Raw genomic sequence first — 18339 nt, 5'->3', positions numbered from 1 at the left:
AATTATTGCAGCTGCAATAACTTTTCTGGTTCTCCTCTGATAGCTATTTCAACTCGAGCATACATCTGAAGAACAATGTTTAATGAGTAATATAGTTAACTTCTATAAACCAGCAGAAGAAAACTCATTCTCTTCAAAACGAATCCAAAACTTAAAAAAAAAAGGATTGCAATGGAAAATATGAAATAATATGGGAGTAATAAATCTTAACAAAATAATAGTTACAATAGATGAAAGTATGTTAAATTTGCCAATTAAAATATGAAGACACTCTTTATCTATATAAGCTTACAGGATACAATAATATGTCAGCTACATAAGATACCTTGAAAAGATGCAGAAAACTTCAAAATAATAGATCAGATTAAAAAAATCAGTTAATTATGAACTATAAGAAACTAGTAAACTTAATATCTGATGAAAATAGAATTTTAAACAACATGTATATAGTAGAAAGATAAAAGTGATTATTTTATAAAGTAAAATGATGACGTTTTCGGCTATGTATAAGTATGTTTTTCCATATTTGTTACGTGACTTGAGTCTACATTTTTAATATTACATTTTAAACATTACAAAACAAAAAAACAAGAGCAATAATTTACAATTACTTTGAATTTTAATTCCTTAGGATCCGGAATCCGCCTGGTTTAAAACCTTCATCCTGATGGCAGCCATTAATGTGACTGGCCTAATTTTCTACCTTATAGTTGCTACAGCAGAAATTCAGGACTGGGCTAAAGAAAAACAACACACACGTCTCTGAAGGTGAGAAGTGATCAGATTAAGGACAATTTTTGAAACTGGGAATGCAGGAGACAGAGGAGATAAGGATGACTCCTCAGACGAGAAGGAATAACGGGTGCAGGTTTGGAGAAGAGGAGACCATGTTAAGCCTGAGAATATTAGACATCCTGAAATGGCTGTGGGACTCTGTGGGGATGCTAAGGCTGGAGATATAAATTTGGGAGGCTGGGCCTCTTTAACATCAAAAGATGAGGATGAAAAAGAGAAGTTTGCAAAAAAGACTGGGAAGGGCCTTCAACGAAGTAGGAAGAACAGTTGTAAAATGGAGACTCGAAGTGAAAAAGGTTGGGAGCAAGGACCTTTGGCAAGTGCTATAATATCAAGACATTACATTATATAAGGTCTAAGAATTTACAATGGTTTAGGCAAGAGAAACTTTAAAGGTAACCCTGACTAAAATGATTTTCAAATGAATGATGGAGACAAAGAGTCCTTTAAGGTGTGTTCAAGGTATAATACTGTGCTTTGCTTATGTAAACTCTATCAGTGGTAAATGAATTGGAGGAGAAATGTCTCTTTGTAGAATAATTTTGGCTAATACATAAATAAGAATTGAAAGATGCAGAATGTCCTTATTTTGCAACCCTCAATAAATTAAGAGATCCAGGTGTTGAATATCAATGATCATTAGTATCACAAAAAGAGAGGCATGAAGACATTGTATACCTTCTGATGAAACAACACACCACCACTAATATCTTGCTAAGAAAATCAAACTGAATCTCATCAAACCTTGGATACAGCTACCGCTTTGGAAGAAGTACAGAAAACAGAGAATATGTTCGACAAAATCCAAGTGTATCATTAGCAAATCTAAACTGTAGGAGATTTTATAGGTCAAAAGGCTCAGGGTCTTTAATAAATAAATTACTTATAAAGAAAAATAGGGAGGACGAGGCGGGTGGATCATGAGGTCAGGAGTTCAAGACCAGCCTGGCCAAGATGGTGAAACCCCGGCTCTACTAAACATACAAAAATTAGCCAGGCGCGGTGGTGGGCACCTGTAATCCCAGTTATTTAGGAGGCTGAGGCAGGAGAATCTCTTGAACTCAGGAGGCAGAGGTTGCATTGAGCCGAGATCACTGCACTTTAGCCTGGGTGACAGAGCAAGACTCCATCTCAAAAAAAAAAAACTGGGGTAGAAATGGATGCTCTAGATTAGAAAGAACTTAAATGACATAACAGATTTTTAAATATTGGCAAAATGAAACACTATAAAGGTATACATGTGGGTGATAAGTCTATAAAGAAATACAGAAAAATAGATTATTATTATAAATGTCAAAGAAGTTGTTACTTTTAGGGGCAGGGAGTGACCATTTGAAGAACTTTGGGAATCCTGGCAATATTCTATTTTTCATGTCCAGGCTAGTGATTACAAACATTTATCCTATAATAATTCATTGAGCCAAATATTTGTGCAATTTTCTGTGTCTCTGTGTTTTATTTTATAGTATGAAAAGAGAAATCAAGAGAGAGAGAATACAGGCTGAGGAAACTGAGACAGCCAGGATAGGCATTCCTATAAAGCAAATTAGAGAAATGGTGTGGTAGCTGTAAAGGGATGTAAAACCAAGGAGGGTTTTGTTTGTTTGTTTTTTGTTTGTTTCAGAAGATACATGCAATAGCATATAAGGTGATGGTATAATTCAATAATGAGGTTCCACAATGTAGGAGATAAGGCACAATGACAGAATTAAAAAGTACTTGACTCATCTGGAAGGGATGAAATTCAAGCACCACAGCCAGGGTTGGCCTTGGGTAGAAACCTAGAGCTTATCCACAGTGGCAGAGAGAAGGCAGTGTTGTATATGTGATGGGTTAGTATATAGGTTGGCATCTCATCTGTGCGATAAGCAATGAGGTTCTCAGTTAAGAGAGAGGGGCTGAGAGACAAGGAAATGAAGAAAATACATATTGGTAAAGAAGGTAAAATTATCATTATGAGCAGATGATATGGTTGTCTACTTAGAAAATCCAAGTGGGTTGACTGGAAAACTATACAAACAATAATTAATTCAGTAAGTTTCCTGGAAAATTTATTAATAAATAAATTTGTCACCTTAAACAAAAATAGCCAGTTAACAAATTTATTGGAAGAAATGATCCAAATGAAGTTTGAAGAAAAATTTTTTTAAAAAATAGGATCTCACTCTGTTGCCCAGGCTGGAGTACAGTAGCACAATCATAACTTACTGCAGTCTCAATCCCCTGGGCTCAAGTAATCCTCGTGCCTCAGCCTCCTGGGTAGCTGGGACTATAGGCATGCAACACTACACCCAGCTAAAGGAGGAAAATTGATAGCGTCACTCAAAAATGAAATTGAGTCGGTATTAAATCGATCTAGTATTGCAAGTACTAAAAATTCCCATAATGGTGTACTCACAAAAATTTGCCAAGATGCAAGCATAACTCAAGATTGTTGATTTAGAAATGGCAAAAATCTGGATATGGAATTAAGCATGTTTGTCAATACAGCCTTAGTTAATACATTTTGTTTAAGTGAGTGGAATATAACCAGCAGTTTAAAAATACAAAAGCTTATCTGAATATTTTAATGTAGAAATATCTGAGATTGTCCTTATAAATAAGCATATAACAGCACTAGAAAATATCCCATAGACATTAGCGAAGGTTTATCCTCTATTTCCAAGGCACAGAGTGGGGCACAGCTATGAGAACAATCACTTTACTTTATTCAGATTCCATAAATCTTATTTGTTTTGTATATATTTGACCTGTTAAATATTGAAAGTTATACCAAAGTTTTCCATTATTATTTCTATCCATTTTTCTTTTTATGTCTGCTTTGGCATTTACTATTGAATACTATATTCTGATGTTACAATTTCAAAAAGACTTTGACAAGTATATCTTAATTTGAAATTTACTTTTGACTTTATAAACTTATGAATCCTTCCCATTCCATAATTTTTACTTTTAATTTACTTTCTGATATTGATATGACAACCTTAAATTGTGGGTGTGGGTGTGGGTGTGTGCTTATTTTAGATTCCCTGGAATACTTTTGCATTGCCTTTAAATTCCACCTTACTGAGCCATTTTATTTAATGTTTTTCTTGCAGAGGGCATATAGCTGGGTTCAATTATTTCACCCACTTTGAGAGCCGTCTCCTTTATATAGATGACTTCAATCCAACTGCAGTTATTGTCATTAAAAATATACTTCATTTTCTAGCATCTTATTTTCTATTCCCTTAAAAAAAATCCTCCTTATCTTTTTGGTCCTTCTCCTCCTCCTGCCTCCTTGCCTGACTCTAGCAATTTAGATTTGTAGAATATTTTAAATTTTGATTGTGCTTATGCTCTCTAACTCTTCTTTGAAAATGTGTTCATTTTTTCTATTTACATGCTATATTCTTTTTCTGCTTTTTTTCTCCTTCCAAAATATCAATCACATTCAATGTTTCTAATTATTTTTCTTTAGTTCAGGCTAATTCTACGTAAACCTGTAATTCCCCAAAGATGATGTGGGTAGAATTTCCTCCATTCTCCTTTGTTTACCTGGTTGCCCTTGGCATCTTTCCATCAGGCTGGCAGTGGAGGTTTTAAATTCTCATTTTAGATATTAGGCTAAGTGGCAGAGGGGCTCTGGGAACACCAGTATGGATAGTGCCATAGTGCAGGAGGTATTCTGGGCCTTGCTGTTTGTGTTGCTGTGCTGATGGTTGTTTCTTCAACAACCTGTATCCTCAGGGCTGTCAGCCATTCAGCAGCACACAGGCATTTTATTTGTGGAATCAGCAGTATTTTACCTGTCACTCTCAAACTGACACACTGCTGCAAAGCGGGTTACCTTACAACTTTGCCTTGTAATTTTAGAAGTTAGAAGAAAATAAGAAAAGGCAGAATCATGGCCTTGCGTTTCTCCTGTAGCCTAGAAGCCATTGCCAATATGCCTGGCATACCAGGATTGCAAAAGTCCATTGTTTCCCAGATGCCCTGCCTCCTACCCAGCCTCACCCAGGAAGAAGTTGCTTCGCAGCCCTGGAACTGCTTTTTCCACCTCTCTTCCCTTCGAATGTACCGGGTTCATGAGTTTAGTAGACAGCTGTGAGTTGATGTCCAATGTCACCCTTTATTTTGGCCCTCAGTGTTTTGAACTTATTATAGTAAATAGTCCTTGTTGATTTGGGTATGAGGTAGTTCTCTAGGTTTTGTAATGTTCTATTTTTGCTTCTTTAAATTTATTTCAGTGGATCCTAGGGACAATAGCTGAATAAGGGGCATGCATTGTGCTTGTGGTAGTTCCTTTACAGTGGGGCTTCTCAATCTCTTGTGTAATGAACCACAACTCAGAATATAATGCAGAGGATTCTAAAGGAGACTGATTATGTTGAAATAGTTATCAAGATACTAAAAAGTATGTTTATGATAACATGATTTTTATTAATGCTTTAGTCTGAATAAAAGTTCTCTGAAGAGAAATTTATAGGAAAGAGGCTATCCTAGTGAACAGTTTGTGAACTAAGGAGAGGCAGATTTAAGGTGCAGTCTAAAGAGCAAAAGGAGAGTTCACTGTTTATAGAGAAAGTTCCCTCCCAGGTTCCCACTCAGGTCCACTTATGCAAATGCATGATTCAGATTTGCTTAGTTCTGAGAGGTTGACACTTGCTGAATTTTGATTGGTCAACTCAGGCTGCAGTCTATTTGTTGGTTCAGGCACATAAACAGGAACAAGCAGCTATGAACTTCCCAAAATTAAGAAGGTGTGTGGGTTTTATGGAAACTCAAAGTGCGTGTGTGACCTCCAGTCGCAAATGACTGCTTGGCTCTATTTTGATTTTAAGCCCAGTTAGCCAATCAGCATCCAACTTGAAGGATTTGTTCTTTCATAGTTCACAATTGTAATGTCATAGGAAAATACCTGTGATTTTTATTGATATCTAAGTCCTCAGTACTACCACTGCTATGATGTATTACCTACATTCATAATGGAAGGAAATGTTAAATTTTAGTCAGATGTTAAGGAATAAAGATGTAATTTTTTTCTATGTAAATTCACAGACCCTGGATTAAGAATCCCTGCTATCTAATATTCATTCAGACAGTAAATAAACATATTTAAGCACTTTTGTAGGTGCTGGGATAGAGCAGTGAGCAACATCATCAGGACTTCAGTGCCTAAAAGAGCTTCACATTTTGATAGGGGGAAACAAATAGCTATATTTAAACAGGATAATTCCAGGCACCGATATACTAAAAAGAACATGAAATAGGGTAACACGATGGAGCATGTTCAAGAGGGCTGTTTTTGCTGGAGGTCAGTGAGTATTCCGAGGATAAAAAATAATGTGCCTCTCTTTCTCATCACTGAAGTCTCAACACAAATGTCACCTACTGGGCAAAATTTGTTCTCACTTGCACCCAGCTCTCACTGTTCTATCCCAGCACCTATAAAAGTGCTTAAATGTATTTCTTTACTGTCTGAATGAATATCAGAAAGCAGGGATTCTTAATCTAGGGTCTGTGAATTTACATACTCTGGGAAAGAGTATTCCAAGCATAAAAAATAACCAAGGAAAGTAATCTGGGATGGGAGTGAGCTCAGTATTCCTAAGAGGGAGAATGAAGGGCAGGGTGGTTCAATCTCATAAGTAAAGAGAGATAAACTGTGTAAGTGGTTAAGGTTAAGTGATTAATGTAGTGCTTCCAGGTCATGGCAAAAGCTTGGTTTGCATCCAATTCTGTCTATAATCAAATCCATTGGATACTTTCGAGAAGAGTGACTTTCCTGATCAATGATTTATAAAGATCATTTTTGCCACCTTCTAGAGGAAGGACTTTAGGAAAACAAGAGTAGAGGCAGGGAGACCAGGACAGATGCTGTTTCAGAGGTTCAAGTGAGAGATGTTGGCAGTGCAGACTAGGATGTAGGCAGGGGAGAGGGTGAGAAGCAGCCAGATTCAGATGAGTTCTGGAGGTACAGCAGGCCAGACAAGGCAGGGAGATTGTGAACTATGCAGAAAGAGAAGAAACAAGGATAGGACCTAGATTTTGGCTTTAGCAACTAAAGAGTGTTTATTACGAGATTGGAAAGCTTGACAAGGAGGAGGATGGGGTAGGATTTTGTCCACATTAAATTGAAACGTTTCAGAGATCAAAAGGAAGGCTCTGGTTTTATAGCAAAGGTTCCTGCTCAGGTCCTCATTCAGTTCCTTTATGCAAATGAAGGATGTTGGGTCAGCATGATCCTGATGGGGGTCTTTTGCAGACAGTTGTTAAAACAGGCTAGAACAATTTTAAAGGGAGTCAAATGTATAGCCCAAATATGTGGAAGACTTGTAGACTGGTCTGGAACTCCTAACCTCAAGTGATTCGCCTGCCTTGGCCTACCAAAGTGCTGGGATTACAGGCGTGAGCCACCGTGTGAAGCCCCACCTAGGTTTTTAATCAGGTTCATTTATGTAAATAAAAAATGGAAACACGTTTAGTTGTGATTGGTGAGTGTAGTTGATTTCTCATTGGCTGGCAAAAATGAGTTCTGGTTGGTCAATACAGCTGAACCCTGATTGATTGACTGAGGCTGCTGAGCTCTGATTGGTTGGTTCAGGTGAATGCTGGAAGTCCCAAATATAAAAGGATGCAGATTTTCAGGGAACTGAGAGTATGTGTGTGACTCCTACCTGGTCAGAAAATTGCTTCTTGGCTCTATTTTAAACTTAGGCCCAGTTAGCCACCTGGGATCCATCTTGAAGAATTGGCTTGAAGGATTCACATTTGTTCACTATGTAAATAGATTTAGGTGAATGTGTTTGGGTCTGTAAAGAGAAATGGACTCTACAGCTCTATTCCTTGAAGGCAGAGACAGAGAATGAAGCCACGTAAGTAGTAGGAAATGTTCCCGCCACCTTTGCACCTGCAAATGGACTCGGTCACTTCACAGGCCTATTTCTCCTTCAGACATCGTCACAGCCACATGGGCAATGGGCAGGAAAGAATTTCAGGACTGTGATAGTATTTTAACCTCCTGTAGGCCTTTAAAATTTTCTGTGTTAACCACTTAAAGCATTCAGCAGCTTTGGAGTCATCCAGAAGGTGTGAGCTCACGCAGAGCCAAAAAGGAGAGAAAGAAGAGTGTTTCCTTCTAGACAATTCATAGTCTTTTGTTCATCTGTAGACGTTTATTGCATGGCTTAAGTGAAGATTTGGGTTCATTTTCCTAGTGTTTGAATTTTACCACCATTGTTTTTTAAAAAATAATTTGCGTTTTCCTCTCTGACTTAAAATACCAACTTTTAGTAAAAGGAATCTCTGTATATTTATGTCTATTTCTGGGCTTAATATTTAGTTTTAGTTTAATATCTATTACTAGACCTATTTTACAACATATTCAGTGGTCTAAATTTTAATATTTGTAAATATCAGGCAGGTCAAAAAAAACATCATTTTCACTTTTGAAAATATTATTTTCTAGTATCAGCTGTTTATTCTTCCAGGAAAGTTTATAATCAGTGGACCTTATTTAAAAAGACCTGTAGCAGTGTTTTTAGAGTTGCACTGAATTGCAATAAATCCAATGGGGAGAAATTGGTAGTTATAACAGTACTCAATGTCAATATTCAATATCAATAGTACTCAATAATACTGATATAAGAACATGATAAGACTTCCATTGCTGAACTTGGCTTCAGGTTTTCCTCAGTCAAGTATTAGTTTGCTTCCTGCATTTCCTATGCATTTCTTACAAAACTTAAGGTTGTTATCTTATATTTTCTGAATCTGATTTTTATTCATTGTATTTTCAGGAATATTGGAAAGATATCATTTGAATATATTTAATTTTTTAACTGAAAAAACTATTGCTAAGCTATCTTGTTGGTTTCGTTTTGAATAATAGATTCTTGTGTTTTCGGGTAGATGATCCTCATCATTTGCAAATAATAACAATAATAATGGGCTAATATTGGGATTCCTTTATTCTTTATGGCTTTAATTGCACAGCCTCTAGGCATATTCTTAAACAATAAATTGGCTGTTAATTTAAAATAGGCATTTAATTATGTCAATGAATTGTCTTTTTGTTCTTTTTTAGATTGAAAATCAAAAACCAAGAATAGAAATTGAGTTTTGTTAAATGTGTTTGTAGCTTCTATTCAGATGATTGCATATTTTTCTTTGTTGTGATTTATTAATAAAATATACTTTTAATATTAAAATCAGACTTCCATTCCTGATATTAAAACTTTTTAGATCAAAGAAAGTTAATATTACAAGGAACTTGGGATTAGTTTGAAGGGGCAATGGAGCATCATATTTAGTTCTGAACTTCTTAGTATCAAAAATAAAATAGAAAATGCAATTAAAAAATAAAATAGAAGCTCTTTGTCTAATAAAAATATATCAACAACATTGCTTTGAGGGAAGCAAAACTTTCCTGGGACTGAATTCTTCGAGTGAATAATGTTGTGGACGGAACATAAATAGGGGTAAGAGCTTCTCCACCGTCTTCCAGACCCATGGATCTGGGCTTCATTAATCTATTGGGGTATTAAATCAGATGTTTACCAAATACCCGGATGGAGTATTGTTAACATTATAACCATTGAGTTGAACAAAGATGACTTAAGGGATGTAATCAAAATGCAATTCTATTTTTTATCTCCTACCTTCCCTATTTGTTTAACTTGAAAAAAATCTCAAGGTACAGGAAAGTTTTTAAGAGTAGTACAAAGAGCTTTTTTTCCTTAACCATTTGAGGGTAAGTTGCTAGCATGATGCCCTCACCATCATCTCCACACCACTCACACACTTTAGGGTATCCTGCAAACAAGGACATTTTTCTACTTAACCACAAAACAACCGTCAACATCAGGTAACTAATGCTGATACATTTCTACCATGTAATTCTGGGACCTCATTCACATTTCATCAATTGTATCAGTGATATTCTTTTCGGCCAAAAGATTCACTTCAGAATTTCATGTTGCATTTAGTTGCCATGTCTCTTTAGTTTCTTTAACTCTAGAATTGTTCTTAGTCTTTCCTTGACTTTGATGACATGATTAGAGAGTGCAGGCTAGTTATTTTGTAGAAGTTCCCCAGTGTGGGTTTCTTTGATGTTTTCACATGATTAAATTCAGGTTAGGGATACCACAAAGATGTCCCTGTGTTCTTCTCAGGTCATTATACCGGAGTCATATGATGCTGATATGTACCATTTCTGGCTCTTCATTTGATTAAGGTGGGGCCTATCAGGTTTTGCCTCTGCAAAGTTACTCCTTCTCCCATTGAAATCAACAGGTAGTTTGTTAATTTGGAACTATGTAAATATTTACATACTTTGGAACTATGTAAATATTTACATACTTTGGAACTATGTAAATATTTCATCCTACATCAGACTTTCAATTTATTCACTTATTTATTTTAGTAAAGCTCATAATTTTGTTTTATTTAGTGATTTATAATATATTACTATTTTTGTTTACTTTGATGCTCAATTTGTCTCAATTTTGGCCAGTTGGAGGTTCTTCATCATTCTTTGAGCACTTTCTTACTTTGTGGCACAAAACAAAATTCCAGAGTCATCTTGAGTTTTTCCCTGACCAAGCCCTGAAATCAGTCCTCACTCTAATAAGCTCTGGTTCCTCTTAATGTTTGAGAATTGTATTTAGAAACCAAGATCTCAGTGGTAGATGTGTTCATGGCTTCTGGGGCCTCTGCCCTCAGGTTTGCTAGGTAGACAAAGTTAGGGACTATATGTGTATACATACATATCTATCTACCTACCTACCTACCTACCTACCTATCTTTCTATTCATATCCATGAATTTACACCAGTACTTCCATCCATTCCAGTCCAATACAAAGTTTCTTCAAGTTTTCTACTTTTCCATATTTTTAACTTTCTTTTCCAGCAGTGAGCTCCTATTAGGATTAATGTTTGTATTTACTTTGTCAATCCCCTTGTGTGCCACCATCATCCCATTTCCAGACATCCTTCTCATTCTTTTCCCAGGCCTACACCCCTCACTCTGATGCCCCCTTGTGGATGCTCTCCTTTCCTGCCCATGCTCTGATTCCCTGACACAGGCCACACCTCCTGGACCTTCCTCATCTCTTGGACACGGACATCTTTGCTAAGTTGCACAACTTTGCCTAGAAGCTTTCCTCAACCCACTTCAGTGGGCGAGGCTGTCACCCAGCTCAGACACCCTCTGCACCTGGTCAGGCTTCAGCATCCTATGCCAGGCTGTCCTCCTGCATGAACACAATCCTCGCCCTGCACAGGCTCTAACACCTCTCACTGGGCCACTGTGGCTCCCCACACCGTGTCCTGCTGGAGCATCCCCAGGTTAGCCATTAAGCAAAATAAGCTTGTGTTTAGGGCACCAAGAAAAGAGGGCACCACAGAGCTTTCCCCCAGCTGTCATGCCCTTAAGTCTTTCACTGGTCATATGATGTTAGTAACATTTTTTGTAATTGTCTTTATTTGCTGTTTAGATTTAATCTAAAATTTTTTCAAATGTGCTCTTTGGCATGGTGAGTGACTAAAGTTTAAAAGTTTGATTTGAAGGTGATATCAGATATAACATTTGTTTCTGTCTCATGCTCTGAGGGTTTTTGCCTCCCTGAAAGCTGGCTGTGTCTGGCTAGCATTTAACTCGTCAGCTGATTTGTTTAAGGAACACTTAAGCTCTTTATGTTAAGAAATGGAAGGGCCAAGGGTGTTACAGAACCACCAGATTCATATTCCCACTACTCAGTAACAAACTAATGCACTCAGCACATAGGTTTTGCAGCAGAGAAAGAATTTAATGAATACAGGGTGACCAAGCAAGAAGACTGGGCGAATCCTCAGAGGGATCTCCATTTCCAGAGGAAACTCCTTTTCCCCCAAGGACTCTTGTGCTGGGATTTTTAAGGGAGTCTTGGAGGGCAAGGGCTAGAAAACTGAGGTTACTGAGTGGTCAGGGTAAGGGGGATGAAGCCATCAGGATGTATTCTTTGGTGAGCCAGCTCACTGTGGGGTCCTGTAGACCAACTGACACAGTAGTTTCACAGATAGGCAGGACCTGAAAGAATAACTCAAATAGAAAACTTAACGTTTCACAATGCTTAAGTTGTTATCTGCAGAGCAGCTAAGGGAAACTGTAATCTTTTGACAAGGTCTACGTGATTTTGAGGCAGCAGGCAACAAACAACTATGAGAAAGCAGGAGAGAATAAGCTGACTTCATGATTAGTGCTGGATGTGCTGCAAGCTTGGTTATTTTCATTTCTCCCCCTCCCTTCTTCTCTGATTAATTTTGTAAAGTTTATAGGGATGGTTTCAAGGTGGCAACATGGTTGGTCTGCGTTTAGGGCATCATTGTTCTTAATCTGGCCCTGCAGTGAGGCAGCCTACCTTGCTTATTATTTCCCTACCCTATCCCAATAACTTTTTTTTTTTTTAAAGTAGAGATGGGGTTTAGCTATGTTTCCCAGGCTGGTCTTGACTCCTGGGCTCAAGTGATGCGTCCACCTTGGCCTCCTAAAGTGCTGGAATTTCAGATGTGAGCCACTGCACCTGGCCTCCAATAACTTTTGAACAAATTCAGAAAATTAAGTGAGGATGCAAAGGGTTTACCTTTTCCCTTCAAACCTGCTCAGTGAAGAAAGAATTTTAAATCTAGGTTATCCCACCCCCACTATACCCCACACTCTTATTTATTTATTTATTTATTTATTTATTTATTTCCTTGTTAAGCCCTCTTAGGTAGTAAAAAGTACTGTGGTCACTTTAAATAGCAAGCATACATTCCCAGTTAGATAACTGAAAATATTTATTTAAATATGGAATTTAGCTAGTCAAATGTCATACACATACAAGACTCCTTCCCTGTGTCTCCAGCTGGGACAAAGCTGCAGGCGGACCTTCTCCTTCAGGGAGAGGGGTGTGAGCACTTTCTTCTGTCTGGCTTTTCTCCTCATCCGCTAGGATGCTGACCCCACCTCTGACCCCTCCTGAGGTGTGACCAGGAGAGAAAGGAGGGGAAGCAGGCATGGAAATTTCTGGCTTGTTTGGCCCCATTGTCAGTTGCCCACATGCTCCCTGGGCCAGTAGGTGTTGAAAGCAGACCCTTTTCTTCATGCATAAGAGGCTGACAAGGCAGGAAATGCACTTGGTTTTTCCAGCTGCCCATCTCCTTGGCATCACAGATCCACTCCACACAAATCTCCCTTTGTGGATATCCCTTCTCCCTTCTAGGTGGTCCCTTGGGCCTGGCTATCAGTCCTCTGTGACCTGCATCTAATCCATGGGAAACACGCATGTAGCCTCTGGTCCAACAAAATGGAGAGGTCTTGTCCACTTCAAATGCAGTGGTCAGTGTCTTTCTGCCTTGTTCCTCGGGTGGAAAATCAGAGCCCCTCACTCCCAGATTCCTCAGGAAAGCCAACAGCTGACCCATGGGCCCACCCAAACACAGACTAGGCTCTAAGCAACCATTGATATAATTTGTCTATATTGATTTGCCTATTCTGTACATTTCATGTAAATGAAATTACATAATATGTCTGTGACTGACCTGTTTCACTTGACATGTTTTCAAAGTTCACTCATGTCGTAGCACGTAGCAATACTTCCTTCTTTTTTTGTGGCCCAGTAGTATTCGACTGTATGGCTATGCTACATTTTGTTTATACATTAATCCACTGAGGAGCATTTGAGTTGTTTACACCTTTTGGCTGCTGTGAATAGACCACTATGTGCATTTGTGTGTACAAGTTTTTATGTGAAGATATGTTTCAATTTTGTGGGGTATATACCTACAAGTGGAGTTGCTGGTCATGTGGTAATTCTAGGTTTAACGTTTTGAGGGACTGCCAAACTCTTCTCCACAGCATCAGACTATTTTACATTCTCACCAGCAATGTAGAATTCCAATTCTCCATATCCTCATCAACACTTGTTATGTTTCTTTTTTTTTCAGTAGCCATCTCAGTGAATGTGAAGTGGCATCTCATTATGGTTTTGATTTGCTTTTCTCTAATAAGTAATTATGTTGAACATCTTCTCATGTGCTTATTGGCTATTCTTCTGTTTTTTTACAGAAATATATATATTCAGTGTGTTTGCCCACATTTTAATTATTTGTCTTTTGATGTTGGGTTATAAGAGTGTATTGGATATTCTAAATACTAGACTGATAAGAATCAGATATGTGATTTGCAAATTGTTTCTCCCGTTTTATAGGTTGTCTTTTTTTACTTTCTTGTTAATGTCCTTTGATGCAAAGTTTGAAGCAAAGTTTTTGATTTTTATGAAGTCTAATTTATCTATTTTTTCTTTTATTGCTTGTGGCTTTGTTGTCATATAGAAGTAATCAATGCCAAGTCAAAGGTCATGAAGATGTACCCCTAAGTTTTCTTCTAAGAGTTGTATTGTTTTAGCTCTTACATTTAGGTCTTTGATTCATTTTGAGATGGTTTTTAAAAATAGTGTGAGGTAATAGTATTTTGTTATAGCAGCCTTAGCTAAGACAGCTTCTTTAATTTCTTTCTACAATATTTTGAAGTTTTCGAATATAAGTTTGTACTCTTTTTGTTAAACTTATTTATAAGTATTTTATTATTTTTTATGCTACTTGAAATTGAATTGTTTTCTTAGTTTCATTTTTGGATGGCTCATTGCAAGTGTATAGAAATATAATTGACTTTTGTATATTGATCTTGTGTCCTGCAGCTTTGCTAAACTCATTAGTTCTAATATTTTTAGTAGATTTCCTAGGATTTCTGTAAGCAAGATTATATCATTTGTAAGATATAGTTTTACTTCTGTTTTTCCAATCTAGTTTCCTTTTATTTATTTCCCTTGCCTAATTGCCCTGTATAGAACCCCTAGTATAATGTTGAGCAGAAGTGGCTAGAGTAGACATCTTTGTCTTGTTCGTGATCTTAGAGAGAAAACACATATTTTAAAATTCTTACAAAGCCTTTCTTCATCTACACTCTCTTGAGGCTTTAACTTTTATGTAACCTGAACTGTTTCAGAGCCGTATGACTCTAAAAGCCATATGGCTTTTTATGACATCCTGAACAATATCTGTAAGGTATGGTTTGGATGTTTGTCTCATCCAAATCTCATGTTGAAATGTAATTCCTAGTGTTAAAAGTGGGGCGTAGTACGAGGTGTTTAGGTCATGGGGGCAGATCCCTCATGACAGCTTGGTGCTGTCCTTTGGATAATGAGTGAGTTCTCACTCTGAGTTCAGGAGAGAATATGGTTGTATAACAGTGTGTGGTACCTCCCATCTCTCTCTCTATTGCCCCTGCTCTCACCATGTGATGCACTGGCTCCCCTTTCACCTTCTGCCATGATTGGAAGATTCCTGAGACCCTCACCAGAAGCAGATGCTGGCATCATGCTTCTTGTACAGCCTGCAGAACCATAAGCCAAAATAAACCTCTTTTCTTTATAAATTACCCAGACTCAGATATTCCTTTATAGCAACACATATTGTCTCCCTAGGATAAGATGTATCATGATTGCCTATGTGAAGAGAATACATATGTTCAGCTAACATGTGGAAACATCTGCAGCATGTTTAGACAGTTATTAGGCAATGTAAGCAGCTGTTTCCACTGGAAAACCCAGAAAATGTCTATTTGTATGGACGCCATGTTTTAATAACTAATAAAACTTCAAATACAAAAAGGAAGAAAAAATTTTCAATACAAAGGAAAGATAGTGTGTGCCTTCCTCATTGTTACTCCAGATAGGCCCCTGGATTGACACCCAGTTTAGAACCTTGGCCACTCCCCCTTTTCAGGTTTTGGAGAATATGACATCAGAGGAGCTAATCTGGACACCTATTAACCAGGTAAAGCCCAGTTTCAGCCCAACTTGCCAGAGACCACTATCCCAGTTAACACAGATGACAGCAATTGTTCTTTGAAAGGACTAGTGACACTTTTGGGTAGGGTCCAAAAAAAAAAAAAAGAGTGTGTGGTGGGTGCAGGACCACAAAGGGGGGCTTTATTTTCATTTTCTTAATAACAAGTTGGTTTACAAAGAATGGGAATTTGGTAACAGTACAAAAGGTATGTCTTATTATCGCTGTGGATAAAATATATTCTTATTAGGGAGAGTGGCAGTATCAAACTTGAGTGTCAAACCCCACTGGTGTGCACTGTGTTTTTTTGCTTTGTTTGGATTTGTTTTGTTTTCAGGATACAACATAGATATAGAGCAACTGATGGATGGTTTCATACCATGTACCTGGACCTAGCAAAATGTTGGAGTTGTTTGGATCTTTTACATAAAGATTTTTGAAAATAGGGAAAAGGAAGGATAATAAACTTGCACAGACAGCCATATTTATTTTTATGTCCAGAGGAGAGAAGTGTAAAAAAATGTTTAGGATCACCTATCACTGAGGCAAGGAAGACAACTTGAGAAAAATATAATACACGAGACCATCTTTTTGAAATGTTGAAAAGCTTTCTTATGTCCTCTGTGTACAAGGACTCACAAATGACATTTGTGTGCACTATTTTTTTCTTTGTTTACAAAACTTAGTGTGAAACAGAGCACTTGCAGAGCCTGGGACAACCTCCTTATTGAAGGGAAGAGGGACCAGCACATGAGGCTGAGGCTGAGGGGCAGTCACCAGCACCAGGAAGAAGGTGGTAGGAGGAGTCCTAGGGGCCAGTTTTACCCTCCCACATATCCTGTGTGCATCGTTTTTTAACATGTGTTGTTTGTAACATGTAATATATCTGAATTTTAAATGGGGGTGGTGATTTATCTCAGTCTTCCTCTCTGCATCAGTTGCTTTATAAATGATTGTCAAACCAATAAATACACACAAGATAAAATTTTATTCTAAGGCTTCATGAAAGACTTTTTCCACAATTTTTAACTTTTATTCTTTCTCATTGTAGATGTGTGAGCTAGTGCAAAATTTTAGGAGATTTCCATAATTTAAGGATGGCCCATTTTAAAGGAAACAGCACAAGTCAGCTCCCTCGCTGGTGGGCCCAGGGAGAAATGTAACTCATTTTCAGAAATAACTAAAAGTGACAGATAAGAAAGAAAGAACAGGATCCAGGGAGAGGCTAGGGTTGGCTTGGTGACTGTTGGAGAAATGATACGGAGCAGACCCAGTCTCTAACATCTTAATTCCAGATGAAAAAAGATAATACATAGGTTTAGATGACTCGATGCTCAGAAAACAAATACAATTAAAGAAAAATCTGGTCCTTTTCCTTCCTATCCATTTCTCCCCTAACTGTTCTCCCACCACTCTGGAGCTGTTCATTCATTGATTCATACTGCGATTCAATAGCATTTACTGGCACTTACTGTATATGATACTGTTGTTCTTTGTGTTAAAGATGCTACAAAATAATGTATGTCATGGTTCCTGAACTTTAAGAGCTTGTCTTCAGACTATGTAGAGGAAACTGTCATAAATGAAGCAGCTGAGGAACAGTGTGGCGATAGCCCTGCCAGGCAACCTGCAGGGCCTCTCTCCTCTGGTCTGACAAGAGCACTTCAGACCTTTTTCTTTCTCCACTTACTGCCTCCCTTCCAAGTAGGAAGAAAGATATAAAAATAAGACCCTCCCTAGATCTTGCACTAGCAGATGAAGACACCATCTTGGGCTGTCAGGTGAAAAGGCAGGAGCTGTCCTCACACCATCTCTCATAATTCTCCTAACTGGGCTTCAAGTCACAAAATTCCTCCCTTGTCACAACCTTCTCAGGAACTTTCCATTAGTGCTTTGTGTTTTTTGCATATGCGACTTTTCTCTGTCAGCTAGCACCTTCTCACAATCTTAAACATGTTTGTTTTCAACTCCTTCTTCGAGCCCATATGCTTTTGCAGCTACTTTCTTGCCTCTTTCCTTCTGCTATGGTTTAGATGTCTGTTCCCTCCAAATCTAATATTGAAATTTGATCCCAATGTTGGGTCCACTTGCAGGAGGTGTTTGTGTCATAAGGGTGAATCCCTAGTGACATTAAAGCTCTTCCTCAGGGGTGAGTGAGATCATTCCTACAAGAGCTGCTTGTTTTAAAAAAACCTGGCACCTCCTCTCCCCCTCCCAGCTTCCTGTCTCACCATGTGCTTTCTGTACAGGCCTACACTCCTTCACTTTCCACTATGAGCAGAAGTTGCCTGAGGCCCTCGCCAGATGCAGATGCCCAATCTTGAACTTTCCAGCCATCACAATCACAATCCAAATAAACCTCTTTTTCTTCATAAGTTACCCAGCCTCAGGCATTCCTTTATAGCAACACAAAAGCGACAAAGACACCACCCTTTCATACCCAAACTTCTCAGCAGTGGTCTCCTTTCTGTACTTTCTGCTCACTTCTCATCTGGACAGATCACTGCAAATTTGGCATTGGTAACTACTCACTTTTTTTGGAAACATTCTCTCTTCCCTTCCCTTTCTTAGCACCATATTCTCTTGATTTTCCTTCTATCTTTCAGGCCCTTTCTTTTTCTTTCTTTCTTTCTTTTGTTTTTCTTTCCTCTCTTTCTTTCTTTCTTTGTTTCTTTCTTTCTCTCTCTCTCTCT

General features: G+C 37.9%; 1 protein-coding gene across 7 annotated transcripts in view; it reads left to right on the top strand.

Annotated features, from left to right (window-relative positions):
• The window catches only part of SLC17A1 (solute carrier family 17 member 1), a 108310-nt gene that overhangs the window by 32502 nt on the left and 57469 nt on the right, over positions 1 to 18339 (top strand). For 4 of the 7 annotated variants that reach the window (XM_011514821.3, XM_011514819.3, XM_011514820.3 and 1 more), the window contains one exon: positions 632 to 1413. In XM_011514821.3, coding sequence (XP_011513123.1) covers positions 632 to 766 — 135 coding nt within the window. In that variant the 3' untranslated portion in view covers positions 767 to 1413. Of the gene's footprint in view, positions 1 to 631; positions 1414 to 16332; positions 16637 to 18339 lie in introns of those variants that run through there. The other 3 variants (NM_005074.5, XM_017011201.3, XM_011514818.3) reach the window with 3 other exon arrangements.

Source organism: Homo sapiens, chromosome 6, assembly GCF_000001405.40.
Source record: "Homo sapiens chromosome 6, GRCh38.p14 Primary Assembly".
Taxonomy (NCBI): domain Eukaryota; kingdom Metazoa; phylum Chordata; class Mammalia; order Primates; family Hominidae; genus Homo; species Homo sapiens.
Note: the sequence above shows the minus strand (reverse complement) of the source record. Positions and strands in the feature narration are given on the sequence as shown.